Source organism: Homo sapiens, chromosome 9, assembly GCF_000001405.40.
Source record: "Homo sapiens chromosome 9, GRCh38.p14 Primary Assembly".
NCBI classification, from domain to species: domain Eukaryota; kingdom Metazoa; phylum Chordata; class Mammalia; order Primates; family Hominidae; genus Homo; species Homo sapiens.
This window is the reverse complement of record NC_000009.12, coordinates 136,482,138-136,509,286: the sequence shown is the minus strand read 5'-3', so window position 1 is coordinate 136,509,286 and position 27,149 is coordinate 136,482,138. Positions and strand designations below refer to the sequence as shown.

The window sequence follows — 27,149 nt, the reverse complement described above, 5'->3', positions numbered from 1 at the left end:
ATAAAGAAAGCAGGGGAGGGAGGTGTGACGTGGTGTGAGAGCCGGGCCCCGGGTTCCCACTGGCCTCCCTGGGTCAGCCAGGCTGCCCTGGGCCTGTCCTGGCCATCAGGCCCCTAGGGTTGAGCAGAAGGGGAGGTGCTGGCGAGGCAGAATCTGCTGGAGCGGGGACCCACCAATGCCCTCCACTCAGCCCCCGCCTGCCCACCCCCTTGCAGCTCCTGCTTCAACGGTGGCACCTGCGTGGACGGCATCAACTCGTTCACCTGCCTGTGTCCACCCGGCTTCACGGGCAGCTACTGCCAGCACGATGTCAATGAGTGCGACTCACAGCCCTGCCTGCATGGCGGCACCTGTCAGGACGGCTGCGGCTCCTACAGGTGCACCTGCCCCCAGGGCTACACTGGCCCCAACTGCCAGGTGAGTGCGCCGGCCACAGAGGTGCCCGAAGGAGGGGCCCTGGGTGGGTGCCTACCTGCGGGAGGTGGGAACGGTCACCCCAGGTCCCACTGTGTCGGCTCGGGGTCACCCCCACACCCCCGGGCAGAGGGTTTCTGGGGATCTGAGCAGCCGGTGAAGGAACCTGATGCGGAAGCAGCAGGCACCTTCGTTTCAATCCCAGGTTTCTGGAGCCGGGGCAGGAGCTCAGGAATTGGGGAATTGAGGAAAAGTGTTCCTTCTAGCAAAGGCCGAGGGTGGTCTGGACCTGCTGAGGGCCCTGAGGGAGACCCAGCCCAGGCTGTTCCTGGTGTGGGGGTGGTGGGGAGTCCAGGGGCGGCAGTTTCCACTTCTGTAGAATGGGTTGCAGCCTGGGTTGGAGTAGGCCCCTTGGCAGATGTGCGTTCTGAGCTACCGGGGAAATGGCCGGGGCGCGGGCACCCAGCTGACCCCAATCTGTCCCCAGAACCTTGTGCACTGGTGTGACTCCTCGCCCTGCAAGAACGGCGGCAAATGCTGGCAGACCCACACCCAGTACCGCTGCGAGTGCCCCAGCGGCTGGACCGGCCTTTACTGCGACGTGCCCAGCGTGTCCTGTGAGGTGGCTGCGCAGCGACAAGGTAACCTGCTGTGCCCACCCAGCTCGGGTCCCAGCCCATCAAGGTCCTCTGTGGGCCTGGGCCTCACCTGTCTACCACCCCATCCCCCGCAGGTGTTGACGTTGCCCGCCTGTGCCAGCATGGAGGGCTCTGTGTGGACGCGGGCAACACGCACCACTGCCGCTGCCAGGCGGGCTACACAGGCAGCTACTGTGAGGACCTGGTGGACGAGTGCTCACCCAGCCCCTGCCAGAACGGGGCCACCTGCACGGACTACCTGGGCGGCTACTCCTGCAAGGTGGGGGTCCCTCCTAGGGTAAGGGTTGTGGCCGGCACGAGTGTTGCCACACACCAGGCCCTGGCTGGGAGCTGGCCCAGTGGAGAAAACTGAACCTGATAGGCCCATGCACTGTTCAGTCTCATTAGGGGAGGGCTGGGGTAATCAGGGTAGACTGCCTGGAAGAGGTGGCCTGTGGAAAGCCTGAAGGAGGGTACCTATACTGAGAAGTGGGATGGGGTTTTCCCTTCCCCTAGATTGTGTCTGGGCTTGGCCAACACCTACCCTGAGGCCCTCACCTCTATCCTATGGGACGGGGTCCACCCACCCCCAACAGGCAGTGACTCCGGTCACCGAGGCCCCGCCAGGGTCTGTTGGGCTGGGTCTCTCTCCAGGTCTGACAGGAGCGAGGGGCCCGTGGCTTCGCTGGACCTGAGGGCAGCTCATGTGGCCCTGTCAGCCCTCACAGTGGGGTGTGGGAGCACTGCATCCTGGCGCCGGCTGAGCCGAAGGGCCCCTCGTTCTGTCGCCTGCACAGTGCGTGGCCGGCTACCACGGGGTGAACTGCTCTGAGGAGATCGACGAGTGCCTCTCCCACCCCTGCCAGAACGGGGGCACCTGCCTCGACCTCCCCAACACCTACAAGTGCTCCTGCCCACGGGGCACTCAGGGTAAGGGCCGCTGCACGGAGGGCTGGTGTTGGCCATCCATGGCCAGGGCAGGGGCAGGGCAGGCACCCCGGGACCGGCCAGAGGCATCCAGGAACCAGCCAGAAACTCCCATTTTCCTGTGTGAGGCCAAGGCCGACTCACAGCTGCCCAGGGAAAGGGCCCAGAGCGGGGGTCCCAGTGGGAAGGGCGTCTCCACGGCACCCTTGACACCTGCCTCTCCCGAGTGTCCGTGCAGCCCCAGACCTGAGCGCTCGTCTTCCGGGACGGACACGCGGCACGGCAGGGCCGGGGTGTGGCGGGCTTGGGCCACTGACGAAACCTGGCCCCGCAGGTGTGCACTGTGAGATCAACGTGGACGACTGCAATCCCCCCGTTGACCCCGTGTCCCGGAGCCCCAAGTGCTTTAACAACGGCACCTGCGTGGACCAGGTGGGCGGCTACAGCTGCACCTGCCCGCCGGGCTTCGTGGGTGAGCGCTGTGAGGGGGATGTCAACGAGTGCCTGTCCAATCCCTGCGACGCCCGTGGCACCCAGAACTGCGTGCAGCGCGTCAATGACTTCCACTGCGAGTGCCGTGCTGGTCACACCGGTGGGTGCCGCGCCCAGGCGGGTGGGGCGTGTGGGGCAGCAGGGTGAGCCTCTCACTGCCCTGCTCTTACCCCTAGGGCGCCGCTGCGAGTCCGTCATCAATGGCTGCAAAGGCAAGCCCTGCAAGAATGGGGGCACCTGCGCCGTGGCCTCCAACACCGCCCGCGGGTTCATCTGCAAGTGCCCTGCGGTAGGTGCAGGGGTGCAGGGAGGCAGGGGCCCGCCAGGGGAGACACCTGGAGAGGTCCACGTGGGGGCCTCGGGGCGCAGACCGGGCAGTGATCCTCCCGGCCTTCATCCTCCTCCTCACCCTGATGTCTTTTTTTTTTTTTTAGTTTCAATAAATGATTTTAGAGACATTTTAGATTTATAGAAAAATGGAGCAGGAAGTAGACTCCCTGGGGTGGCTGTCCCCTGCACGCAGTTCCCCTGGTTAGCAGCTTGCATCAATTTCACTCTGGATTTCAGTGATACATTGTTACCAACAGCAGCCCTTCCTGTACCTGGGGCTTGCCCTTGGCTTTGTGGTTGTGGGTTTGGGCTGAGGTATGACATGCCTGCCCACCCTCGCAGGATCACGGCAGAGAGTCCCTGCCCTAAAGTCCTCAGCACTCCACCAGTTTACCCCTTCCTCCATCTCCCGACCCCCTGGCACCCCCGATCTTTCTCTGTTGGTAGAATGTGTGTAAAGGGTTTTGCTGCTGGGGGCAAGGTTGCAGGCCGCCTCCCAGGTTAGAGGAGAGCGGTGGCACTGCTGGCCGAGGGCTGGGTGTGAGGTGGCGGGGGGGCGGGGGGTGGCCCACCCCGACACCGTCCTGTCTTCCCTCTCGGGCAGGGCTTCGAGGGCGCCACGTGTGAGAATGACGCTCGTACCTGCGGCAGCCTGCGCTGCCTCAACGGCGGCACATGCATCTCCGGCCCGCGCAGCCCCACCTGCCTGTGCCTGGGCCCCTTCACGGGCCCCGAATGCCAGTTCCCGGCCAGCAGCCCCTGCCTGGGCGGCAACCCCTGCTACAACCAGGGGACCTGTGAGCCCACATCCGAGAGCCCCTTCTACCGTTGCCTGTGCCCCGCCAAATTCAACGGGCTCTTGTGCCACATCCTGGACTACAGCTTCGGGGGTGGGGCCGGGCGCGACATCCCCCCGCCGCTGATCGAGGAGGCGTGCGAGCTGCCCGAGTGCCAGGAGGACGCGGGCAACAAGGTCTGCAGCCTGCAGTGCAACAACCACGCGTGCGGCTGGGACGGCGGTGACTGCTCCCTCAACTTCAATGACCCCTGGAAGAACTGCACGCAGTCTCTGCAGTGCTGGAAGTACTTCAGTGACGGCCACTGTGACAGCCAGTGCAACTCAGCCGGCTGCCTCTTCGACGGCTTTGACTGCCAGCGTGCGGAAGGCCAGTGCAAGTAAGGCTGCGGGGCTCATGGGGCTGAGGGAGGACCTGAACTTGGATGTGGCCTGGCTTGGGCCCGGAGGCCAGCATGCAGTTCTAAGGCTCTGCTCAGGGGGTGCAGGGACGTCCCCCGCGGCTGGCCAGTGGGCTGGAGGCACCGGACGGCGGGTGCGAGGCCCCCCGAGGAAGGCGGCCTGAGCGTGTCCCGCCCCCCACAGCCCCCTGTACGACCAGTACTGCAAGGACCACTTCAGCGACGGGCACTGCGACCAGGGCTGCAACAGCGCGGAGTGCGAGTGGGACGGGCTGGACTGTGCGGAGCATGTACCCGAGAGGCTGGCGGCCGGCACGCTGGTGGTGGTGGTGCTGATGCCGCCGGAGCAGCTGCGCAACAGCTCCTTCCACTTCCTGCGGGAGCTCAGCCGCGTGCTGCACACCAACGTGGTCTTCAAGCGTGACGCACACGGCCAGCAGATGATCTTCCCCTACTACGGCCGCGAGGAGGAGCTGCGCAAGCACCCCATCAAGCGTGCCGCCGAGGGCTGGGCCGCACCTGACGCCCTGCTGGGCCAGGTGAAGGCCTCGCTGCTCCCTGGTGGCAGCGAGGGTGGGCGGCGGCGGAGGGAGCTGGACCCCATGGACGTCCGCGGGTGAGTGAGACCCGGCGCCCACGGTCAATCCCCGCAACTCTCCTGGGCCCTCCCCGACGGCCTCCCTGCCCCTCACGGCCGGCGCCATGGCAAGCAGTACTCTCCCCACTTTATGGTAAAAGAGACGGAGGTTCCGAGAGGACCTGGGACTTCAGGGCCTGCGCAGGCAAGGAGTAGAGGCAGCATTCCAGCTCAGGGCCCTGACCCCACAGCCACACCCTTTTCCTGGGCCACTGCCTTCCCCTGGACAGGCGGCACTCCTGTGCCCAGTAGGTGATTTTGAGATTGAGCTGTGCCTTAGGCACTGGATACTACACTGATTAAAACTCAGCCCTCTGCCAGGCGAGGAGGCTCACACCTGTAATCCCAGCACTTTGGGAGGCTGAGGCAGGCGGAGCCCTTGAGCCCAGGAGTTCGAGACCAGTCTGGGCAACATAGGGAGACCTTGTCTCTGTTTTTTTTAAAAAAGTATTAAAAGAAGTAAAAAACAAAACACTCAGCTCTCCAGGGGTTCCCACAGGGCTGAACAGCCCCACCCCAGACAAGAATGCCGCTTGGTCATGGCGTCTGCCTGGCTTGGGCTGGAGAGGAGGCAGGTGGAGGTCCTGGGAGGGGGCATTGCTGGGCCTTGCAGTTGGAGGAGGAGCTGGTGGGGGTGGGGGGTCCCACGGTGGGAGAACACAGGCAGGAGCAGCTTGAGTGCAGGGGGCACCCCACAAGGCTCCCGCCCATGCCTACTCGATCTGGGGCAGCTGGACCCAGGAGCCAGGTTGGTTGTGCCCTTCGTGTGCCTGACCCTGGTGGGTTTGCCTGTCAGTTCTGCTGGCTTGGAGCAATCCTGGAGGTCAGAAGCATCATCTCACAGGCTGGATGGGATCCTGCTCACGGGAACCCAGTCCTGGGGAGCAGAGCTCACCCCCAGCCAGCCTCACCACACAGCCCACCACCGCTGCACCCACCCCCACCTCACGCCTGTGCTTCCTGCAGGGCCTGGGGATGGCTCCTGGGGGAGGACTGGGCTCCTGGCACATACTCTGTCCTGAGATGAGGAAACGTGTCTGTGGCACCAGCAGGAGCCAGAGAGGGTGTCAGGGCGGGCCAGGGAGAGCGCGTTGGTGGGTATCTGGGATGAGCCGTGATCAGCACTGGCCGGAGTCGGGGGGCTGGCACCAGTCCCCTGCAGGGTAGCTGCTGTCAGACCTGGCTTCCCACCACCCCAGGCTGCCTCACCATGTCCTGACTGTGGCGTCATGGGCCTCAGTGTCCTGCGGCAGCATCCCTGGCCGGTGGGCGGGGGAGGAGGAAGCCTCGGGTCCCAGCCCCTCTCTGATTGTCCGCCCAGCTCCATCGTCTACCTGGAGATTGACAACCGGCAGTGTGTGCAGGCCTCCTCGCAGTGCTTCCAGAGTGCCACCGACGTGGCCGCATTCCTGGGAGCGCTCGCCTCGCTGGGCAGCCTCAACATCCCCTACAAGATCGAGGCCGTGCAGAGTAAGTGTGGCCCCATCCCGGGAACAGGCTCTGCCTGCAGGGGGTGCCATCCCCCCGTGCCCCAGACACGCTGGCTGTTTGTGCCAGTTGCTACCCACGGGTGTGAGCGTTGCCGTCCGAGTTGGGGTAGGGCTTTTCTGGAATTTTCTGAATGGCACTCCGCCCCCACCTGCGGCGGTCACAGCTGCCGGTGGAGCCACCTGGGAACGAGTCCAGCCACGGGAAAGTGGGTGCCTGCTTCTCTCCCCACCCTTTCCTCCTGAATTTTCTTTGTTGGGTATTATTTCAAAATCATTACGGCTTTTTTTAAAGAAAAAAAAAGAGAGAGAGAGAAGAATTGATCGGTGTCATGTGAAGTGTTGAAGTTTGTATCTTGAAAATCCCTCTAAATCCTTTGTCTTAACAGCTCAGTGCGAGTGCAGCGATTTGAAGTTGACTAATCCTCCTTCCTTAAAGGAGAAAAAAGTAAAAGCCGTCTCCAGATAGAGTCGGCTGGTGCAGGAGAGAATTTAGCGATAGTTTGCAATTCTGATTAATCGCGTAGAAAATGACCTTATTTTGGAGGGCGGGATGGAGGAGAGTGGGTGAGGAGGCGCCCGGACGCGGAGCCAGTCCGCCGCCCCCCGGCCACCAGCCTGCTGCGTAGCCGCTGCCTGATGTCCGGGCACCTGCCCCTGGCCCCCGTGCCCGCAGGTGAGACCGTGGAGCCGCCCCCGCCGGCGCAGCTGCACTTCATGTACGTGGCGGCGGCCGCCTTTGTGCTTCTGTTCTTCGTGGGCTGCGGGGTGCTGCTGTCCCGCAAGCGCCGGCGGCAGCATGGCCAGCTCTGGTTCCCTGAGGGCTTCAAAGTGTCTGAGGCCAGCAAGAAGAAGCGGCGGGAGCCCCTCGGCGAGGACTCCGTGGGCCTCAAGTGAGCGGACGCCGCCCCTGCTTCTGGGTCCCCGGTGGGAGGTGGGACCTGGCCGAGCATCCTCACCGGGAGTCTGCCCCTCCCGACCCAGGGCCCACCTCCCACGCCAGGCCCGGGCCAGGGGTCTCTGGGGGCTTCCTAGGGAGCTCGCTCAGCCTCACTTCTCGACCCCTCACCCCCCAGGCCCCTGAAGAACGCTTCAGACGGTGCCCTCATGGACGACAACCAGAATGAGTGGGGGGACGAGGACCTGGAGACCAAGAAGTTCCGGGTGAGTCGCGAGGCTCCCGGGCTCCTGGGCTCCCGGGCACCTGCTGCCGGGCTGCCCTGACAGGCTCTGCTCACTCCCTCTATGTAGTTCGAGGAGCCCGTGGTTCTGCCTGACCTGGACGACCAGACAGACCACCGGCAGTGGACTCAGCAGCACCTGGATGCCGCTGACCTGCGCATGTCTGCCATGGCCCCCACACCGCCCCAGGGTGAGGTTGACGCCGACTGCATGGACGTCAATGTCCGCGGGCCTGGTAAGGGTGCCAGCAGCCAGGGCTTCCCTAGCCCCGTGGCCCACCTGCCTCTCTCCCCTAAGCCCCGAGGCTGGGGTACAGTTGATACTCTGGAAACTTAGAATTGGGGGTGAGAGCTTTCATCCTTGGGGTGTTTCCCATTCAGAGTAGACGTGGGGGGGTCCTGGAGTCCTCCTGTTCTTCCACCAACCCCTTCCTGGGGTGATACCGCAGGGCCACTCTGTCCCTGTAAATTACTCTTTTCTGAAACCTTCTTGAGACATGGAAAGCGTTGATTTTCTTTTTCTTTTTTTTTTTCTTTTTTTTTTGTTTTTGAGATGGAGTCTCGCTCCGTCACCCAGGCTGGAGTGCAGTGGCACGATCTCGGCTCCCTGCAACCTCCACCTCTCGGGTTCAAGCAATTCTCCTGCCTCAGCCTCCCCAGTAGCTGGGACTACAGGCGCCTGCCACCACACCTGGCTAATTTTTGTATTTTTAGCAGCGATGGGGTTTCACCATGTTGGCCAGGCTGGTCTCGAACTCCTGACCTCAGGTGATCCGCCCACCTCGGCCTCCCCCAGTGCTAGGATGACAGCGTGAGCCTCCGCATCCTGCTGAAGCATTAATTTTCTAACTGCATGCTTCTGGGGTCCTCTTTTTCCTGGGTGGATTTTGGGTGCCAGGTCTTGGGCAGGTCAGGAAGCAGTTGCCCGCCAGGAGTTTAAGCTGGATTCGGCTCTGTCCACTGAGCAGCCCAGGCGGACTTCAGCTGCCCCTTGGTGGCTGTGTGCACGGGGCCACCAAGTGCTGGGTGGTGCATCCACACCGTGGCCCCTTGAGCTTGGGGCTGCTGCCCCCCTCCCCCTGGGCTGCAGCTGGGGACCGGCCCTCCAGACTGAGCACCCGTCTCTGCCTCTGCAGATGGCTTCACCCCGCTCATGATCGCCTCCTGCAGCGGGGGCGGCCTGGAGACGGGCAACAGCGAGGAAGAGGAGGACGCGCCGGCCGTCATCTCCGACTTCATCTACCAGGGCGCCAGCCTGCACAACCAGACAGACCGCACGGGCGAGACCGCCTTGCACCTGGCCGCCCGCTACTCACGCTCTGATGCCGCCAAGCGCCTGCTGGAGGCCAGCGCAGATGCCAACATCCAGGACAACATGGGCCGCACCCCGCTGCATGCGGCTGTGTCTGCCGACGCACAAGGTGTCTTCCAGGTAGGCAGTGGCTGCCTGTGTGCCCACCTGCCCTCCTCAGGGCCGCCTGGTGGTCTGGGGCAGTGGCCAGGCTTACGTGGCCCTGGGAGCCTGACCCCGAGCACAGCTGAGTCCGGGACAACTGGTGCCTCCACCTGGGACCTTCGCAGTCAGCGAGGTGCGAGGGGGAGGGCGTCGGGCCCATCTGTGTTCTCCAGGGAAGTCAGGCAGAGGCGGGTCTGGCAGGAGGCCTGGGGGATCTGCTGAGTGAGGCAGCACCTCCCCACCCCCAGCAAAACAGGCTCCATCAGGGTTGTGGGCCTTGCTCAAGGTCCAGGTTCCACTGCTGCAGCCCCTCGCAGCCCCGCCCCTCCCTCAACCTTGGCTGCCGGCGTAGCCTGTGGCAGTGAGAAGCAGGGTTTAGAGGCTGCCGCTCGGTGCCTGCAGACCTAGGGCTCAGCTTGCCGGTGAGCTCGTGGCAAGAATGGATTTAGGGATTTGGATGCCTGGGTCTCCAGGGAGTGTCCCTGGCAGGGGCTGCCTTTGCAGTCACCCCTGCTGCGAGTCCCCAGGCTCCAGGCGGCCCTGGAGCAAGCAGGTTCAGATGGGCACAGCCCGGGGAGTTACCACAGAGCTTCTCATTTCCTGATTTCTTAGCTCAGGTGACACATTGTCATCTCGCAGAAATAAATGTAGGTGAGCAGAAAGAGCGTGGAAGGGAGCCCCGTGCGGGTTTGGTGTGTGCCTCTCTCAGCTGCCTTCTTTGCACAGATGTGGAAGTTCCCAGGTGCTTTGCAGGAATCAGGCCAAGTTGCCTTTTGCACCCGCCAGTGAGCAGGGGCCATTCCTCCTGCCAGATGCCAAGACCCGGCTGCATTACAAGGGCTGCCCACCCCCTCTCTGGGCAGAGCCGGACACTAGCTCGGCGGTTCTGAGACGGCTGTAGGGCCGTGAGCCCGGCTTCCTGAGTGCCAGCTGTAACCGCCGTTGGGGGCAGGGACTTGACCTCTCTGTTTTGTAGGTGGTCATGGCAGCTAGGACCACAGTGAGGATTAAATGAGGCCACACGTGGTCACGATGGATCCCACTGTCACCAAGGGGCCTGTCTGTGGGCAGCACAGCCCCTGCCCCCATCCGGGCCCCTCCTCAGGGGCAGCCCCATGGCGTTTCGTCTTGCCCGGCCGTGCCGATCTCAGGAGGGTCTCGTCTGTGTCCGGAAGACAGTGGGGCTTCCCGTCCAGGCGTTCGTTCTGGGCAGGAGGCATCGGTGTACGTCTGCCCAGCACCCGCCTGAGCCTCTCCCTGTTGCCCAGATCCTGATCCGGAACCGAGCCACAGACCTGGATGCCCGCATGCATGATGGCACGACGCCACTGATCCTGGCTGCCCGCCTGGCCGTGGAGGGCATGCTGGAGGACCTCATCAACTCACACGCCGACGTCAACGCCGTAGATGACCTGGGTGAGCCCACGGGGGCACGGCTGCTCTGTCGTGGGGCGGGACCGCCACAGGGACGGGTGGGACTGGGTTGCCTCCAGCTGGTCTCCAACCTACCCCATCTGCTTCTTTCACGCAGGCAAGTCCGCCCTGCACTGGGCCGCCGCCGTGAACAATGTGGATGCCGCAGTTGTGCTCCTGAAGAACGGGGCTAACAAAGATATGCAGAACAACAGGGTGAGCGCGAGGCTGGGATGCCAGGGGAGACGTGAGGGCTGAATCCACAGAGAAGTGAGGGCCAAACCCACGGGGCGCAGGGACACAAGGGCCTGACCCACAGGGTCTCGAGGGTCGCTGGGCCCGCATGTGGGCCCCACCCGCATGATGCGGGCACCTCGTTAGTGCTCCTGCCTTCCTTCAGCCCCCGTTTATGGAGCCCTTCCAAGTGCAGGTCCAGCTGTCAGGACACGGCGGCTCGCCCCTCAGACCCAGCCCTACCCTCCTGGGCGGCAGTCATGGCGGGGCACACAGCCTGGCGTGGGGAACGCTGCTGCTGCCACTGCTGTGTCACCGTCACCTGGACCTCACCTTCTGTCCCCAGCTGTCACCAGGCGGGGGTGGGGATGGGAATGTGGTGACGCAGGTGGTGCAGATTGAGCCAGAACACGCGTGGCGGCAGCTCCCTGCGGGGCGGGGCCTCTTGGTGTGTTCACCAAGGCCAAGGACCTCAAGGCTCAGAGGAAGAAGTCTCAGGACTATATCCAAGGGGAGCCACCCCCAGCCCTCATCCTGGCCCTGCAGCTCCTGGCCCTGCAGCTGCTGTTGGTTTCCCCTGGGTGCTCAGGGCACAGGTGCAGACACCCCCACCTCCCTGCCGCCAGAACCCCCACCCCCGCCCCCAACTCCTGCTGCCCCCTTGGCATGTCAGGCTCAGGCGTCTCTCCCTCCTGGGTGAGGGCACACAGCGGGCCTGGGCACCGGGGCATGTTGGCCCAGGCGCTCCCCAGTCCGTGGCAGCATGGCCCCACAGAGACTGGGCCCCAGAGGGCATCAAGGCCTGGGAAGCCCCTTCCCACTCCCACACAGCAGCCTCACCCAGACCTGTGACGTGTCCACCGCACAGAGGAGACCCCAGGAAGGAGCTTGGTGGCCACCAGGGTGGCTTGATGGCCGTCCAGATGACGAGCTCCCTCCCTGGTGCCCTCGCCGGTGCCTCTGAACCGCTCCAGGAATTTCCTTTTGTGCCTTATTGGGGGCAGGGAAGAGGGCCTGCAGTTGGTTAGATTTTCAGTGGGGTCTGTGACCCCCCCATAGAGGTGGAGCCCCGCTGATCTAGGGTAGAGGACTGCACAGATCCCCTCTCTGGGTGGGTTTCAGAAGATGTATCAAAGCCTTAACATTTAACAAGAGTCAGGCTAGGTGGTTGCAGGACGCTGGGGTGGGGTCCTGAGGAGCAGCCTGCCTGCCCCCACCCCGCGGAGGAGGTTGTACTGCTGCTTCCTCTGGTGATGGAACCTTGGGGAGGGTCCCCACGCCTGGCCTGGCCCCCCTCACCGGCCCCCGCCCTCATCCCCCAGGAGGAGACACCCCTGTTTCTGGCCGCCCGGGAGGGCAGCTACGAGACCGCCAAGGTGCTGCTGGACCACTTTGCCAACCGGGACATCACGGATCATATGGACCGCCTGCCGCGCGACATCGCACAGGAGCGCATGCATCACGACATCGTGAGGCTGCTGGACGAGTACAACCTGGTGCGCAGCCCGCAGCTGCACGGAGCCCCGCTGGGGGGCACGCCCACCCTGTCGCCCCCGCTCTGCTCGCCCAACGGCTACCTGGGCAGCCTCAAGCCCGGCGTGCAGGGCAAGAAGGTCCGCAAGCCCAGCAGCAAAGGCCTGGCCTGTGGAAGCAAGGAGGCCAAGGACCTCAAGGCACGGAGGAAGAAGTCCCAGGACGGCAAGGGCTGCCTGCTGGACAGCTCCGGCATGCTCTCGCCCGTGGACTCCCTGGAGTCACCCCATGGCTACCTGTCAGACGTGGCCTCGCCGCCACTGCTGCCCTCCCCGTTCCAGCAGTCTCCGTCCGTGCCCCTCAACCACCTGCCTGGGATGCCCGACACCCACCTGGGCATCGGGCACCTGAACGTGGCGGCCAAGCCCGAGATGGCGGCGCTGGGTGGGGGCGGCCGGCTGGCCTTTGAGACTGGCCCACCTCGTCTCTCCCACCTGCCTGTGGCCTCTGGCACCAGCACCGTCCTGGGCTCCAGCAGCGGAGGGGCCCTGAATTTCACTGTGGGCGGGTCCACCAGTTTGAATGGTCAATGCGAGTGGCTGTCCCGGCTGCAGAGCGGCATGGTGCCGAACCAATACAACCCTCTGCGGGGGAGTGTGGCACCAGGCCCCCTGAGCACACAGGCCCCCTCCCTGCAGCATGGCATGGTAGGCCCGCTGCACAGTAGCCTTGCTGCCAGCGCCCTGTCCCAGATGATGAGCTACCAGGGCCTGCCCAGCACCCGGCTGGCCACCCAGCCTCACCTGGTGCAGACCCAGCAGGTGCAGCCACAAAACTTACAGATGCAGCAGCAGAACCTGCAGCCAGCAAACATCCAGCAGCAGCAAAGCCTGCAGCCGCCACCACCACCACCACAGCCGCACCTTGGCGTGAGCTCAGCAGCCAGCGGCCACCTGGGCCGGAGCTTCCTGAGTGGAGAGCCGAGCCAGGCAGACGTGCAGCCACTGGGCCCCAGCAGCCTGGCGGTGCACACTATTCTGCCCCAGGAGAGCCCCGCCCTGCCCACGTCGCTGCCATCCTCGCTGGTCCCACCCGTGACCGCAGCCCAGTTCCTGACGCCCCCCTCGCAGCACAGCTACTCCTCGCCTGTGGACAACACCCCCAGCCACCAGCTACAGGTGCCTGAGCACCCCTTCCTCACCCCGTCCCCTGAGTCCCCTGACCAGTGGTCCAGCTCGTCCCCGCATTCCAACGTCTCCGACTGGTCCGAGGGCGTCTCCAGCCCTCCCACCAGCATGCAGTCCCAGATCGCCCGCATTCCGGAGGCCTTCAAGTAAACGGCGCGCCCCACGAGACCCCGGCTTCCTTTCCCAAGCCTTCGGGCGTCTGTGTGCGCTCTGTGGATGCCAGGGCCGACCAGAGGAGCCTTTTTAAAACACATGTTTTTATACAAAATAAGAACGAGGATTTTAATTTTTTTTAGTATTTATTTATGTACTTTTATTTTACACAGAAACACTGCCTTTTTATTTATATGTACTGTTTTATCTGGCCCCAGGTAGAAACTTTTATCTATTCTGAGAAAACAAGCAAGTTCTGAGAGCCAGGGTTTTCCTACGTAGGATGAAAAGATTCTTCTGTGTTTATAAAATATAAACAAAGATTCATGATTTATAAATGCCATTTATTTATTGATTCCTTTTTTCAAAATCCAAAAAGAAATGATGTTGGAGAAGGGAAGTTGAACGAGCATAGTCCAAAAAGCTCCTGGGGCGTCCAGGCCGCGCCCTTTCCCCGACGCCCACCCAACCCCAAGCCAGCCCGGCCGCTCCACCAGCATCACCTGCCTGTTAGGAGAAGCTGCATCCAGAGGCAAACGGAGGCAAAGCTGGCTCACCTTCCGCACGCGGATTAATTTGCATCTGAAATAGGAAACAAGTGAAAGCATATGGGTTAGATGTTGCCATGTGTTTTAGATGGTTTCTTGCAAGCATGCTTGTGAAAATGTGTTCTCGGAGTGTGTATGCCAAGAGTGCACCCATGGTACCAATCATGAATCTTTGTTTCAGGTTCAGTATTATGTAGTTGTTCGTTGGTTATACAAGTTCTTGGTCCCTCCAGAACCACCCCGGCCCCCTGCCCGTTCTTGAAATGTAGGCATCATGCATGTCAAACATGAGATGTGTGGACTGTGGCACTTGCCTGGGTCACACACGGAGGCATCCTACCCTTTTCTGGGGAAAGACACTGCCTGGGCTGACCCCGGTGGCGGCCCCAGCACCTCAGCCTGCACAGTGTCCCCCAGGTTCCGAAGAAGATGCTCCAGCAACACAGCCTGGGCCCCAGCTCGCGGGACCCGACCCCCCGTGGGCTCCCGTGTTTTGTAGGAGACTTGCCAGAGCCGGGCACATTGAGCTGTGCAACGCCGTGGGCTGCGTCCTTTGGTCCTGTCCCCGCAGCCCTGGCAGGGGGCATGCGGTCGGGCAGGGGCTGGAGGGAGGCGGGGGCTGCCCTTGGGCCACCCCTCCTAGTTTGGGAGGAGCAGATTTTTGCAATACCAAGTATAGCCTATGGCAGAAAAAATGTCTGTAAATATGTTTTTAAAGGTGGATTTTGTTTAAAAAATCTTAATGAATGAGTCTGTTGTGTGTCATGCCAGTGAGGGACGTCAGACTTGGCTCAGCTCGGGGAGCCTTAGCCGCCCATGCACTGGGGACGCTCCGCTGCCGTGCCGCCTGCACTCCTCAGGGCAGCCTCCCCCGGCTCTACGGGGGCCGCGTGGTGCCATCCCCAGGGGGCATGACCAGATGCGTCCCAAGATGTTGATTTTTACTGTGTTTTATAAAATAGAGTGTAGTTTACAGAAAAAGACTTTAAAAGTGATCTACATGAGGAACTGTAGATGATGTATTTTTTTCATCTTTTTTGTTAACTGATTTGCAATAAAAATGATACTGATGGTGATCTGGCTTCCACTCCCCTCTGCTCTGGCCTTTGGCTCCCTTTCTGGGAGGGAGGCAGGGCTGCTATGCTCTGAGGGAGCCAGGAGTCGAGGGCCCCTTCTGCTGGGAGAGTGACGGTGAGGCTGCCTAGTCCTGGCCCACGGGGGTGTGGGGACCACGCTGCCTCCAGGGACTCCATGGTGTCTGCAGCCTGCCTGGTCCAGGCCCTTTGTAGGGAGATGGACACACAGCAGCAAGGGGGTTGCAGCCCTATGGGAGGTGGGGCTCGTGCCTGGGGTGACACGGCTCCCAGGACACCATGCGTGAGTCTGGCCCTCCTGGCAGCTCGGGGCTCTTCTCCTCTCAGCCTCGGAGGGATGAAGGTCCCACCCAGCCATCCTGGGGACAGCCCCTCAGGGAGCTCTGCAGCAGGCAGGGGGCTGCATAGGGAGGGCCTTGAGGCAGTGGCATGACCCCTCTACGGGCTGGAGACCACAGGGAGGACTCTGGCCCCTATAGGAGGGCAAAGGGAGCTGTCGAAGCCTATGAGCAGGGCAGCATGGGTCGTGGCAGAGTCTGGAAAGTTGTGTGATCCTAAGGAACTGGCTGAGCGAGGCAGAGGCGGCCTGGTCCTGGGGCCCTGCCCCTGAATAGAGCTGCCAGCCTCACACAAGGGTGGGCCCCTTCTCTCCCCACTGCCTGGGCCTCTGCCCAGCCCCAGACCTTCAGGGCAGGCCAGTGGCTTCAAACCAGAGCGGTGGGGAGTCTGAGATCCCTCTTTGGATTGCAAAGCACTGCCTGCCCTGGGCCCAGTCTCTCCAAGGAGGGATGTGAGCCCGAGGCCTCTACTATGGCTGGGGGCTGCGTCTGCCAGCCAGCGCTGGGCACCAGGACCAGGAGGGGCCACCGTGGAACTGCAGTGAGTGGCCTGACTCTTGTCTTCAAAGGGGGTGACCCAGCCGGAGTCCTGCCCATAAAACTCCCAGCACCCTGAAATTCCACTCCTGGGGGTCTGTCCGAAAGAAGTGAAAACAGGGACTCAAACAAACGCACGTGGCCACTTGCTGTCCCGGCATCACTCAGTACAGCCACAGACAGCCTGAGCGTCCACTGCCAACGACGGGTCAGCAAAACCGTCTGCTGTGACGGTGAACCTTAGTGTCAGCTTGGCCGGGCCATTTCGCCAAACGGAGTGTGTCTCTGAGGTGTTCTGGATGAGGTTCGCATTTGCATCCACAGCCCGGGTAAGGCAGTCCGCCCTCCCCAGTGTGGGTGGGCCCCGTGCGGTCCGCTGAGGCCTGGGGAGAACAATAGGCCGAGTGCCAGGGGTCCTCCCACCCAACCGCTTGCACTGGACATTGGTCTTTTCCTGCCTTCAGACTTGGACTGAAAACGTGGGCTCTTCCTGGGCCTGGAGCCCACCGGCCTTCGGACTCGCAACGCCATCAGGCCTCCTGCCTGCAACTGCAGACCCTGGGAACTGCAGGCCTCGAGGTCGTGTGGCCAATTCCCTGCAATAACCTCTCCAGTGGCACGTCTTATGGGCTCCGCTTGCCGGAAGAACCCTGACGAATGCGCACGAGGGAATATGATTCCACCGTAGAAAAGGAGGCGCTGACACCCACCATGCGGACAAGCCTTGGAAGCACGGTGCTCAGTGAAGGGTGCCGGCCGCAAAGGGCCGCAGGTGCAGTGACTCCATTTCTATGGGGTGCCTGTGGTCACCGAACCCATGGAGACAGAAAGTAGATTGATGGTTCCCAGAGCCGGGGGGAGGAGGAAAGGGGAGTGGCTGCTAAACGGCCCGGGGTTTTTTTTTGTTTTGTTTTGTTTTTATACTTTAAGTTTTAGTTTATTGTGGCACTGTTCACAATAGCAAAGACTTGGAACCAACCCAAATGTCCAACAATGATAGACTAGATTAAGAAAATGTGGCACATATATACCATGGAATACTATGCAGCCATAAAAAATGATGAGTTCATGTCCTTTGTAGGGACGTGGATGAAGACGGCCCGGGGTTTTACTTTGGAGTGACGCAAATGTTCTGGGCCCAGGGAGAGGTGGTGCGTGCACAGCCCTTCGAGTGCACTAAATGCCAATAACGCGGACACTTTTTTTTTTTTTTTTTGAGACGGAGTCTCGCTCTGTCACCCAGGCTGGAATGTGGTGGCGTGATCTTGGCTCACTGCAACCTCCGCCTCTGTGTTCAAGTGATTCTCCTGCCTCAGCCTCCAAAGTAACTGGGATTACAGGCCCCTACCACCACACCCGGCTAATTTTTTTGTATTTTTAGTAGAGATTGGGTTTCACCATGTTGGCCAGGCTGGTTTCAAACTCCTGATCTCAAGTGATCCACCCGCCTCGGCCTCTTAAAGTGCTGAGGTTACAGGCGTGAGCCACTGCACCTGGCCTAACTCGTACACTTTAAAGTGGTTAATTTTAGGTTCTGTGAGTCTCACCTCAATATGTTATTTTTTTTTTTTAATTAAAAAAAGTTTTTGAGACAGGGTCTTGCTCTGTCACCCAGGCTGGAGTGCAGTGGTGCCATGATAGCTTATTGCAGCCTCAACCTCCTGGGCCCAGGTGATCCTCCCACCTTGGTCTCTCTAGCAGCTGGGATTACAGGTGCACACCACCTCACCCACCCAATTTTTTTGTTATTTTTTGCAGAGATGGGGTCTCACTTTGTTGCCCAGGTTGGTCTCGAACTCCTGAGCTCATGCAGTCCTCTCCTCACCTTGGCCTCCCAGAGTGCTGGGATTACAGGTGTGGGCCACTGCGCCTGGCCACATATGCAACTTTAAATATTTCAGTAGCCACATTAAAAAGGTAAAAAGAAACAGGCAAAGTGTATATTAATACTACAGCTTAGTTAATCCAATATATCAAAAATATTATTTTAACACAACATAAAAAGTGAATGAGTTTTTTTTTGTTGTTTTTTGTTTTTTGAGACAGAGTCTCCCTCTGTCACCCAGGCTGGAGTGCAGTGGTGCGATCTCAGCTCACTGCAACTTCCGCCTCCCGGGTTCAAGCGATTCTCCTGCCTCAGCCTCCCGAGTAGCTGGGATTACAGGCACCTGCCACCACGCCCAGCTAATTTTTGTATTTTTAGTAGAGAGGGGGTTTCACCATGTTGGCCAGGCTGGTCTTGATCTCTTGACCTCGTGATCGGCCCACCTCGGCCTCCCAAAGTGCTGGGATTATAGGCGTAAGCCACCACGCCCGGCCGTGAATGAGATGTTTTATATTCTTTTTGTTTGTTTGTTTTTGGTACTGTGTCTTTGAAACCCAGGATGTACAGTACACTCACAGCACCCTAGATTGGGCCTGGCCACACTTTAAAAGGTGTTCAGTATCTCCAGGAGGCTCACGTCCAGATTCGGACTCTTCAGCAGGATGCCAAGGGGGCTCCAGACAGTTCCACCCAGCGCAGGAAAACACCAAGTGTATCTTCAGCCTGGTGACTCACTCCACGCCGCTGCCGGCGTGAACCCCGAGTGTGGCGCTGCGTCCCTCTGGATAGAGCAAAGGAGGGTCCCAAGAGCCCGGAGGCACCAACTCATCAGGGCCCACAAATCAGGCCCCCGGCAGGCAGGGCTGCCTCCATCCAAGAGGGAAGCACGGTGCCGTAGCCCCCGGGCTGCTCCAGGGATCGACAGGCCTGTGCTGCCTTCATCCCAAAAGTCTCACTTGCAAAGGGTGTCCGTGGGGCTCAACTGCGTGCTCAGCGGTGGACTGATTTCGTTCTGTGTGGCTCCTTATCTCATCGTGGACCCAAATCCACGAACCACACATGAGGAGCTCTGCTGGAGGGGGCAGCACTGGGCAGAGGCAGACAAGGGGGAGCGTCACGCGGCTGTTTCCCGTGGTGAGCATCCACCAGCAGCGGTTCCTGGTGGGACACCGACGTATTCGTCTGCAAAAGTAAAAGTGTTTCAAAACAAAACCGGGTCCAGCTTGGTCCCGGTGCGTTGAAAGTGCTGGCGTTGGCCAGGCGTGGTGGCTCACGCCTGTAATCCCAGCACTTTGGGAGGCTGAGGCGGGTGGATCACAAGGTCAGGAGATTGAGACCATCCTGGCTAACACGGTGAAACCCCGTCTCTACTAAAAAATACAAAAAATTAGCCGGGCGTGGTGGCAGGCGCCTGTAGTCCTAGCTACTTGGGAGGCTGAGGCAGGAGAATGGCGTGAACCTGGGAGGCGGAGCTTGCAGTGAGCAGAGATCATGCCTCTGCACTCCAGCCTGGGCGACAGAGCAAGACACTCTCACAAAAAAAAAAAAAAAAAAAAAAAAAAAAAAAAAAAGTGCTGGCGTTAGTGGAGGTCTCTCAGAGGGGGCGTTGCAGGGCCTCCCACGTTACTCAGGCTTTGCAGACGAAGACGCAGGGTCAGTGAGTGAGCGAGCTTTGGGAAAGGCTGTTCTTCAATCTGCATCTTGAAGGTGGCTGGGTGGCGCCTCAGTCGCCTGCCCCGACGTGACTCCCGATCTGGCTGCTTTGTGTCTTTGCTTTCCACCTGGCGGCTGCTGTCCTGGCTGTTGCTGTACCTCAGTGTCCTCGTGGGTCAAGTGGGGACCTGGGTGCTGGCCCTGGGCCTGCGATGGTGAGCTGCTGGTGCACGCTGGGCATGGGGTGAGGGCTCAGAAAGGGAACAGCTCTTGTTATCGTTAGGAGGTTTTCAATCGCATTCTTTGTTCTCCACCTGCATGCCGTGTTGGCACAGTTAAGCCTGGCGGCCCCTTCAGCAGGTGTCCTAACCGTCTACATTTTAAGATGGACAAGTCTAGGCTCATGGAGATTGCAGGACTGAGCTGCGAAGCTTTATTCATGCCCAACACGACAGGTGCCAGGTGCCCAGGGCCTCAGAGGTGGGTTTCCGTTGTTCTTCACACAACCTTGAACTTGTGGCCCATCCCTGGACCTTACAGCACAGGACACACTCTCAGTGTTTGTTAGGAATCTATAATTTTCTGCGGAGTCACGCGTGATATTTGCTGTGGCTTTTGGTATATCTTCCACTCTATCGCACGGGATTTTCTGGTGAAAATGTGCCCTGGGTCCACACAAACGTGCACATTCTACCACAGCCTTTGTCGTTCTGTTTGGCATTTTTCCATTTAATAAAATGAACCTTAGAAAAGTTATAACTACGGCCAGGCGTGGTGGCTCACACCTGTCATCCCAGCACTTCGGGAGGCCGAGGCGAGAGGATCACCTGTGGTCAGGAGTTCCACACCAGCCTGGTCAACTGGTGAAACCCCCCTCTCCACTAAAAATACAAAAATTAGCTGGGCACCATGGTGGGCACCTAGAATCTCAGCTACTTGGGGGGGCTGAGGCAGGAGAATTGCTTGAATTCGGAAGGAGGAGGTTGCAGTGAGCTGAGATTGCACCACTGCACTCCAGCCTGGGGGATACAGTGAGACTCGGTCTCAAAAAAAAAAAAGAAAAGTGTATAACTTTACTTTTTTTTCTTTTTGTGGAGATGGAATCTTGCTATGTTGCCCAGGCTGGTCTCAAACCCCTAGGTTCAAGTGATCCTCCCACTTTGGCCTCCCAAAATGCTGAGACGACAGATGGGAGCAACCTCACCTGGCAAGCGTGCACCTGTTACTTTGGCCGACTCAGAGGCGGCTCTCTGCCTCCCCCTGGTGGCACTGCTCTGCCAGCGCCCCACAGGTCCTCCCGAGTGACCACAGGGCAGAAATGGCCCTCACCCCACGCCCAGGGCCATCCCCCGCGACACTGCTATTATCCTGTTTTACACATGAGGAAGCTGGGGCTCAAAGAGGTTAGGCGACTTAGCCAAGTTCGCCCATTCACTGAGCCAGGGCTATGTGATTCCCGGTCCGTGTCAAACCACGAGGAGTCACCTGCCCTCAGAGGAGCAGGAAGGCCTGTAGAGTTGATGCCATCCAGCCTGGTGACTTTTCAGACAGGGAGACGGCTGCTCAGAGGGGAGAAGGGGGTTGTTGGGCCACTTTGCCAGGAGTCAATACCATGGCCAGCCTGGCATCGGATACTTTGCCAGGAGTTAATGCCACGACTGGCCTGGCATCGAATACTGGAGCTCTTCCCAGCTCCACCCGGGCCCTTTTCTCTTCCCTATCTACAGTCCCCAGGCCACCAAGTCCATGTCCACCACTTAAATCATCACTCAATGCTCAGGACTGTCTCCTGCCTGCTGTGTGTGAACCCCGTGCTGTGCTGGGGTTGTGCCCTCGGGGACTCTCCCGGGTTCTTGGGGACTCTCCTGGGTTCAGCGCCTCTTTCTCCTAGGCCACCCAAGGCTGCCTCCTGGGCCCTGGCTCTCCCTAGCCCCTAGCTCGAACCCTAACCTGGAGAGCCTTTGGGGCCCAAACTGGTTGCATCGCTCCTGGCTGAAAAGCCTCTGGAAGCTTCCTATACTTCCAGACACCACCTGCGGGTCTCTTAGCAAGCCTACAGAGTCCACACTAGCCTACGCCCACTGGCCGCTCACCCCGCAGAAGCCTCATGTGGACTGTTCACTTCAGCCAGAAATGCTCCTTCTCCTCCTGCCTGTCCCCAGCAGACACTGCATGGTGCCCTCTGTATGGGCACCTCTGTGGCCAGCCAGCATCCATGTTCCCCGGAGGCAGAGTCTGGGCTTGTCTGTCTCACGGCCACAGCCCAGCTCCTAGCAGTGCCTGGGGTACAGCAGGGACTCAGCAGACATCTGTGCATGGTTTGGGGATAGAGGACTCGTGAGCTTACCAAGACCCTGCCTCAGCTCAAGGACAGCCAGCAGTTCCTCCTGTGGCCCTGGGGGCCTGCGGTCCCAGGTTACTGTGACATCGACATCAGCCTTGAGCTTTCTGCTTCATTCCTAGTGCTTTTTAGCACCTTACATGGTAAGTACTTGGCTCAATGATTCCAGAAAAATGTTCTCTGAGACCTGCTATGTGCCCAACATGCTTGAAGATGCTGGAGATGAGGAGCATGACGCTCCTGCAGTAACGAGGCTGCTGGCAATGCCGTCAATGTGCCCTGTGCCTCCGGGGAGGCCTGGTGTGGAGGATACGCTTGCCACCCTGTGAGGTCAGGTCCAGGAAGTCCTTGCAGGAGGCCGGGAAAGGGCAAGGCTGTCACCTTCTTTTACAGGGGAGGAGGCAGAGGCTTGGAAAGGCCAGGTAGCTTGCCCAAGGCTGAACACCTGGGTAGTGGCTGAGGGTCTCTGACTTCTGGAAGCTTGCAGTACAGCTGGACACACGGTAGTTAGCCCACCATTGCTGGAGCCATCTTACCTGTGCTCTGCTAGCCAGGTGGGCGCCCAAAAGGAGATGCCTTTGCCTGTGCTGGGAGGAGGCGCTGTGGGACCCATTCCCCAGCAGCCGAGAGCAAGGGCACATGTGCCAGGGCGGGGATGCACCTTCAGCCTCATGTCAGCCCTGGGAAGGCCTAGAAAGTGGACAGTGCTGTCTCGCTGCACACCCCTGGCGAGCACACCGGGCGAGCACTCCAGGTTAGGGTGGGGCTCAGAGGTGAGTAGAACACGGGAAGGGGGTGGCAGCGTGGTGAGCATGTTTGCGGACCCTATGCTGTGTGCTTGGCAGGCCTTGTGCATGGAAGTGAGTGGGACTGAAGCTCCCTCCACACTGCCCACCATGGCCCTGGGGGTCTGGCCTTCCCCTCACAGAGGTGACTTCCTCTCCTCTATGAGGGTAAGAAGAGGAAGCCTGGCCCACCCTCTGGCCAGCCTGGTGGCATGCTGACAGGGAACCCCTGCAGGGGCCTGATGAACAAACGCCACAGAACAAACTCTACGGACCCTGCCTCCAGATCTGCTTCCTCTCCCCTGATTCCAGCTTCCCAGCCCTATTCCCTCCTCCTCCAGGAAGAGCTCCGTGTCAGTGCTCTCCACCTTGGAGGCCTTCATATGTTTTTTTGCCTGGACCACCCAGCTAACCGTCTCACAGAGACTGCCCCTTCCTCTCTCCAGGCCAAGCCTCCAGCTTCAGCGTCCAGGACTAAGGGTCTGTGTCAGGGGCTGAGGACAGTGTCCGGCAGGGAGCAGGCCTGCCCAGTAAACCTCCACAAGCACCCAGACATACTCGCCACTGCTATTTTACACCAGGTAGGAAAGAGGAGCAGAAGCTCACAGTGAGGGGCCGTCCTGCGTTCACTGAGACTGCTGCTCTGCTGGGGGCTCCCTGGAGGACCGCCACTGGCCCGCCAGTTGTCAGCAAAGAGCCAGGTCCACCCATCAGCCTCTGGCATTTCAGGCCCCTATCATAGGAGGCTATAAGCACAGGCTAGGGGTGCTGAGTGCCTGCCTTCTAGACCAACACTGTCCAGTGGAAATGTAACACCAGCCCCATGTGGAGTTTTACATTTCCCAGCAGCTATGTCAAAAACAAAAGAAACAGGTGAAATAAAATTAAATAGTATTTTGTTTAATCTGATACATCCAAGATATTGTCATTTTAATATGCAATAAAAAATGATTGATTCGATATTTGCATCCTTCACAACCTACCATGTAGTTTACACTCAGAGCCCAGCTCAGTCTCACAGCAAGCACCAGCGGCCCCCGTGCTGGACAGCATGGCTAATGGGAGGAGCTGACCCGTCGGAGGCACCAAGGTCACGCTGTGACCAAGGCTGTGGTGACGCAAAGGCAGCGGGTTTCCTGGCACAGCCTGGAGGTGCACCAGCCTGTCCTGTGTGCTCTGCATAATGTGGTACAGCAGTGGTCACAGAGCTTTGCACCAGATGCTGATTCCAGCCCACCTAGGGGGGTTCAGGGAAGTGGTGACACTTGTGTCCAGCCTCCAGGTGTGAGCAGGGGCAGAGACTTGGAGAATGGAGAAACCAGCGGATGCTGCAGGCAAAAGCAGCAAAGCCCCACCAGGAATAGTGATGGCCACCACCGGCGGGACACCTCCCAGCACTGGGTGGAGGCCTCTGCTGGCTCGCAGTCAGTCACCTGATGTCCCCATTCGCCCCTGCCATGCTTGTTGTCCTGGCAACCCCATTTCAGCCCTGAAACGTTTAGGTGCTCATCTTGCTCTATCTTAGAGATGAAGACCTGATGCTCAGAGACTAAGGAAGTTGAAAAAGGGCACACAGCGTCTCAGGGGCAGGCTGGGCCTTCAACGGAAGGGTCTATGGCCCAGAGGCTGGATGGGCTCGGGTGTAGGGTGCAGGAACCCTCCACTCCACATCAGGCTACAAACTGCTGAGAGCTGTCTCCGTGCACTCAGGATTAGGGAGAAGAGGGGGAAGAAAGACAGCCGCGCCCCCTGCAGGTGATGTGGTGATTCACACCCCTAGGAGCCAACAGAAGCCGCTGTCTAACATCCCTGCCCTGAGGTCCAGAGACCTTGCATTTTATGCCTAGGGCAGGGTTGGTTTCTGCAGCTATGGTCTCTCCCATAGCTTAGTGCCCACCCCGGTGGGACCACAGGGTTTCGGAGGACCCTAGAGGGTCGAGCCCTGGGCTCCTGGCTCTTGGGTTCTTTGAACTCGCGAGCGGCAAAAGGCGAGCCCCACGCCTGAGAGGCAGCATCCACCTCTGCATCCCCCTCTTTGGAAAGGGCAAACAATGACACCTCCTTCCGCGGAGGGTGCAGAGCGCCTCGACCACTGGGAAGAAGCAGATGGGGGCAGCGGGGCTGGGGCTGGGCCCTACCACGTGCTCCCTAACTCTGTTCAAACAGGTCAGGAATCTGACTCCTGAAAGGCAAATGTTAGCTGAGCAGATTGGCCCTGGTGCCACGTCAGCCGGACTGAAGCTCTCCCTGCACCGCCTGCGGCCCTGCTGGCGTGGCACGGATATCACCCCCTCCCTCACCAGCCGCCGGCCCAGCTGGGGACAAGGGTGGCTCCCACCCAGGGAGGACCTCAGCCGCTGCTGGGAGCTCAGCCTCCCGCGATGCCATCGGGCGGGCACCCCCACCACGGCGCCTGCCCTCTGGAAGGAGCAGCAGAGGAAGGCCGCGGCTCTTCCCTGCCCTTGCCAGGCAGGTGTGCAGGTGAGTGGGCCCGGCATGGCTGGCCGCTTCCTCAACCGCTCAGCCTCCCTCGGCTCCTCCGAAAAATGAGGGCACAGAGGATAGTGCCCACCTGTTCCCTGCGATCTTCCGCGGGAGGGCGTGGATGCTGCCTGGCCTGGCCGTGGCAGGCACAGGAGCGCCTACCCGCCTCACCCCTCCGCTGGGTCGCTCTGGCCGCCCGAGCGCCCGGGCCCACTCGCCACCGACGTGCACTCAGCCAAGGCTGGGACCCCAGCGCCCCTGTGGGGCTGGCGGCCGGGGGAACGAACCGAGTAGGCCGCACCTCCCCGGGAGGACAGCAGGGCTGGGGCCAGGGTGGGCCTGGGAGGGCCCGGCGCAGCAAAGGCGCAGGGCGGAGCTTGGGGACGAGGAGCCCGCGCGTCCCCCTTGCGAGTCGGCGGACACCCGGCTCCGCGCGGTGGCCGGGCCGCCCCTCCCTGCCCGGGCCTCTGTGCAGAGCGAAGGGACAGTAGAGGATGCGTCGGGGAAACCCCAGGACGCTGGCCAGGGACTGGCGGCAGCCATCGACCAACTTCCGGCGCCGCTCGGTGCCCGCGGCCACGCCGTAACCAGGCAACCAGCGCGCAGGCGCAGTCGGCCCTCCGCGTCCCGCAGCTCCGGCCGCTCCCGGCGCATGCGCGGCCGCCGCCGCCTGCCCTCCAGCCTCCCAGCCCAACGGAAGAATGCGAGGAGCGCGCCCGCGTCAGGGCCCCGCGCTTCTCAGCTGGGCGGAGTAGCCGTTCTCGGTGCGTGAGCCTGCTGGCATCGGTCCTGCAGACTGATTTCCCGCTTGTGGCCTTGATTGAAGAATCCCATCTCTTCTCACATCTTAAAACGAAAAAAGACTGGGAGAAAGAGCCAGCGTAAACAGGGCGACGTACTGGGACGGCCCCGGCGCGCCTGGCCGGGCAGGTGGCGAGGGGCGGGGCCAAGCGGTGAGGCGGCAGACGGACGCCGGAGGGGGGCGGGGCCACGGGCGGGGAAGGACGGCCGAGGGGCGGGGCCAAAGGGGCGGGAACGACAGGATGAGGCGGAGAAAGACGGACGACGGGCGGGGCTAAGGGGGCGGGACGAAAGAATGAGGCGAGGAACGACGGAAGAGGGGCGGGGCCAAGGGGAGCGGGAACTACAGGATAAGGCGTGGAAGACGGGCGGGGGGCGGGACGAAAGAATGAGGCGGGGAAGAACGGACGCCGGCGAGGGGCGGGGGCAGAGGGGGCGGGACAGAGGGATGAGGCGGGGAGGACGGACGCCGGCGAGGGGCGGGGCCGAGGGATGGGCTGTGAAGGGCTGAAAGAGAACGCGTCTGGGCCGACGAGCCGAGGGGCGGGGCCAGGGGCGGGGCGCGCGCTGATGTCGTAAGCCGGACACGTCGGCGGCGCGGCGGCCGCGGAGACCCGAGCCGGATGTGCCAAGATGGCTGCGGCGGCTGAGGTGTCTGTGCTCGTCGCCAGCGTCGGGTGGGCTTTCGCCCGCGGCTCCTGAGGGATCGGTCTCAGCCGCGCGGGTGAGGGGGCGAGCGCGGGTGAGGGGGCGAGCGCGGGAGGAGGAAGGCGGAGGCCGGCCGGCGGAGCCAGGCCGTGGAGGTCGGGGCGCGGAGGAGAGGAGGCGGCTGGGCCCAGCCCCGAGCGGGCGGTGCATCTCGGGTCCCGCCGGGGCCGGTCGAGGGGACAGACGTCCGGGCCCCCGGGCCAGAGCGGAAGGCCGGACGCGGCGCGGGCCGCCGTGGGACTCGAGGGACTGACGTGGACCCGGCTGGGCTGCGGTGACGCCGGTTCCCGGGGCGGGAGGCTGGACCCCCAGGCACCCCTCGTAAGACTCTTAACTTTTCAAATGAGCGTGTCTTGTCCTCACCGGCTAGAAGGCTTCCTTAGCGATGCTGGTGAAGAGACACATTTACATTTGAACCAAAGAGCAGAGTTGTTTGTTTGTAATTTCTTGATTGGGCGATCAGGATGTTGCAACAGAGGCCGAGGGTTAGAGGAGTGTGTGTGATCCGGCTCGCCCCTTTGTGATGGAAGTGTTACAGTAGAGCCTTCAGAAACATCAGAGCCATTTAAAGTCAGTTTTTGCCGCTTAAGAACACTTTTAAATGGCTTGTAAGTTGGGTGTGGATTGTATATTAAGATTTTGTTTTACATGTGTGATGCCGATGTTAACCAAAGAGGTATTTCCCATCCCCCATGTGGCAATACGAAGCAAACGGAACCGCAGACGGTTCTTCCTAGAAGTGATACTTTTGCAAGTTTCAGCACAATGCAGCCTCCCTGCGTTTTTTCCTCATCCCCTTTCTTAAGTTTCAGGTGC

At 60.8% G+C, this 27,149-nt stretch overlaps 2 protein-coding genes and 1 long non-coding RNA gene across 55 annotated transcripts in view, besides 9 other annotated features; 2 read left to right on the top strand and 1 right to left on the bottom strand.

The window, feature by feature from the left end:
- The window catches only part of NOTCH1 (notch receptor 1), a 51,616-nt gene extending 36,762 nt beyond the window's left edge, over positions 1-14,854 (top strand). For both annotated transcript variants that reach the window (NM_017617.5, XM_011518717.3), the window contains 16 exons: positions 216-417; positions 902-1,055; positions 1,148-1,332; positions 1,850-1,982; positions 2,314-2,571; positions 2,648-2,760; positions 3,406-3,977; positions 4,183-4,614; positions 5,957-6,105; positions 6,799-7,015; positions 7,199-7,286; positions 7,374-7,539; positions 8,440-8,735; positions 10,028-10,175; positions 10,291-10,388; positions 11,729-14,854. In NM_017617.5, coding sequence (NP_060087.3) covers positions 216-417; positions 902-1,055; positions 1,148-1,332; positions 1,850-1,982; positions 2,314-2,571; positions 2,648-2,760; positions 3,406-3,977; positions 4,183-4,614; positions 5,957-6,105; positions 6,799-7,015; positions 7,199-7,286; positions 7,374-7,539; positions 8,440-8,735; positions 10,028-10,175; positions 10,291-10,388; positions 11,729-13,216 — 4,699 coding nt within the window. In that variant the 3' untranslated portion in view covers positions 13,217-14,854. The remainder of the gene's footprint in view (positions 1-215; positions 418-901; positions 1,056-1,147; positions 1,333-1,849; positions 1,983-2,313; positions 2,572-2,647; positions 2,761-3,405; positions 3,978-4,182; positions 4,615-5,956; positions 6,106-6,798; positions 7,016-7,198; positions 7,287-7,373; positions 7,540-8,439; positions 8,736-10,027; positions 10,176-10,290; positions 10,389-11,728) is intronic.
- Positions 9,948-11,147: an enhancer, noted in NCBI's record as "BRD4-independent group 4 enhancer chr9:139392592-139393791 (GRCh37/hg19 assembly coordinates)". NCBI's record gives its function as "activates an origin of replication core promoter dependent on BRD2, P300/CBP, MED14 and CDK7 cofactors, and independent of BRD4, by STARR-seq in HCT116 cells {active_cell/tissue: HCT116}" and the evidence as "EXISTENCE:reporter gene assay evidence [ECO:0000049][PMID:35650434]".
- Positions 20,377-20,426: a silencer, noted in NCBI's record as "silent region_20524". NCBI's record gives its function as "represses an Ori minimal core promoter by ATAC-STARR-seq in GM12878 lymphoblastoid cells {active_cell/tissue: GM12878}" and the evidence as "EXISTENCE:reporter gene assay evidence [ECO:0000049][PMID:35858748]".
- On the bottom strand, positions 23,220-25,792 carry C9orf163 (chromosome 9 putative open reading frame 163). Its single transcript, NR_172629.1, has one exon. It is a non-coding gene; the product is annotated as a chromosome 9 putative open reading frame 163 (long non-coding RNA).
- Positions 24,547-27,149, top strand: part of SEC16A (SEC16 homolog A, endoplasmic reticulum export factor) — a 44,636-nt gene continuing 42,033 nt past the window's right edge. For 27 of the 52 annotated variants that reach the window (XM_047424252.1, XM_047424250.1, XM_047424248.1 and 24 more), the window contains exon 1: positions 24,547-24,821. The gene's annotated coding sequence lies outside the window, so the exon portion shown is untranslated. Of the gene's footprint in view, positions 24,822-25,503; positions 25,778-26,246; positions 26,350-27,149 lie in introns of those variants that run through there. The other 25 variants (XM_047424264.1, XM_047424261.1, XM_047424263.1 and 22 more) reach the window with 2 other exon arrangements.
- Positions 24,864-25,608: an enhancer, noted in NCBI's record as "H3K27ac-H3K4me1 hESC enhancer chr9:139378131-139378875 (GRCh37/hg19 assembly coordinates)". NCBI's record gives its function as "activates a minimal SCP1, AML or CMV promoter by ChIP-STARR-seq in naive H9 embryonic stem cells {active_cell/tissue: H9 hESC(naive)}" and the evidence as "EXISTENCE:reporter gene assay evidence [ECO:0000049][PMID:30033119]".
- Positions 25,135-25,564: a silencer, noted in NCBI's record as "silent region_20523". NCBI's record gives its function as "represses an Ori minimal core promoter by ATAC-STARR-seq in GM12878 lymphoblastoid cells {active_cell/tissue: GM12878}" and the evidence as "EXISTENCE:reporter gene assay evidence [ECO:0000049][PMID:35858748]".
- Positions 25,715-25,894: a silencer, noted in NCBI's record as "silent region_20522". NCBI's record gives its function as "represses an Ori minimal core promoter by ATAC-STARR-seq in GM12878 lymphoblastoid cells {active_cell/tissue: GM12878}" and the evidence as "EXISTENCE:reporter gene assay evidence [ECO:0000049][PMID:35858748]".
- Positions 25,965-26,074: a silencer, noted in NCBI's record as "silent region_20521". NCBI's record gives its function as "represses an Ori minimal core promoter by ATAC-STARR-seq in GM12878 lymphoblastoid cells {active_cell/tissue: GM12878}" and the evidence as "EXISTENCE:reporter gene assay evidence [ECO:0000049][PMID:35858748]".
- Positions 26,305-26,624: a silencer, noted in NCBI's record as "silent region_20520". NCBI's record gives its function as "represses an Ori minimal core promoter by ATAC-STARR-seq in GM12878 lymphoblastoid cells {active_cell/tissue: GM12878}" and the evidence as "EXISTENCE:reporter gene assay evidence [ECO:0000049][PMID:35858748]".
- Positions 26,305-27,099: a biological region, named in NCBI's record as "H3K27ac hESC enhancer GRCh37_chr9:139376640-139377385".
- Positions 26,354-27,099: an enhancer, noted in NCBI's record as "H3K27ac hESC enhancer chr9:139376640-139377385 (GRCh37/hg19 assembly coordinates)". NCBI's record gives its function as "activates a minimal SCP1, AML or CMV promoter by ChIP-STARR-seq in naive H9 embryonic stem cells {active_cell/tissue: H9 hESC(naive)}" and the evidence as "EXISTENCE:reporter gene assay evidence [ECO:0000049][PMID:30033119]".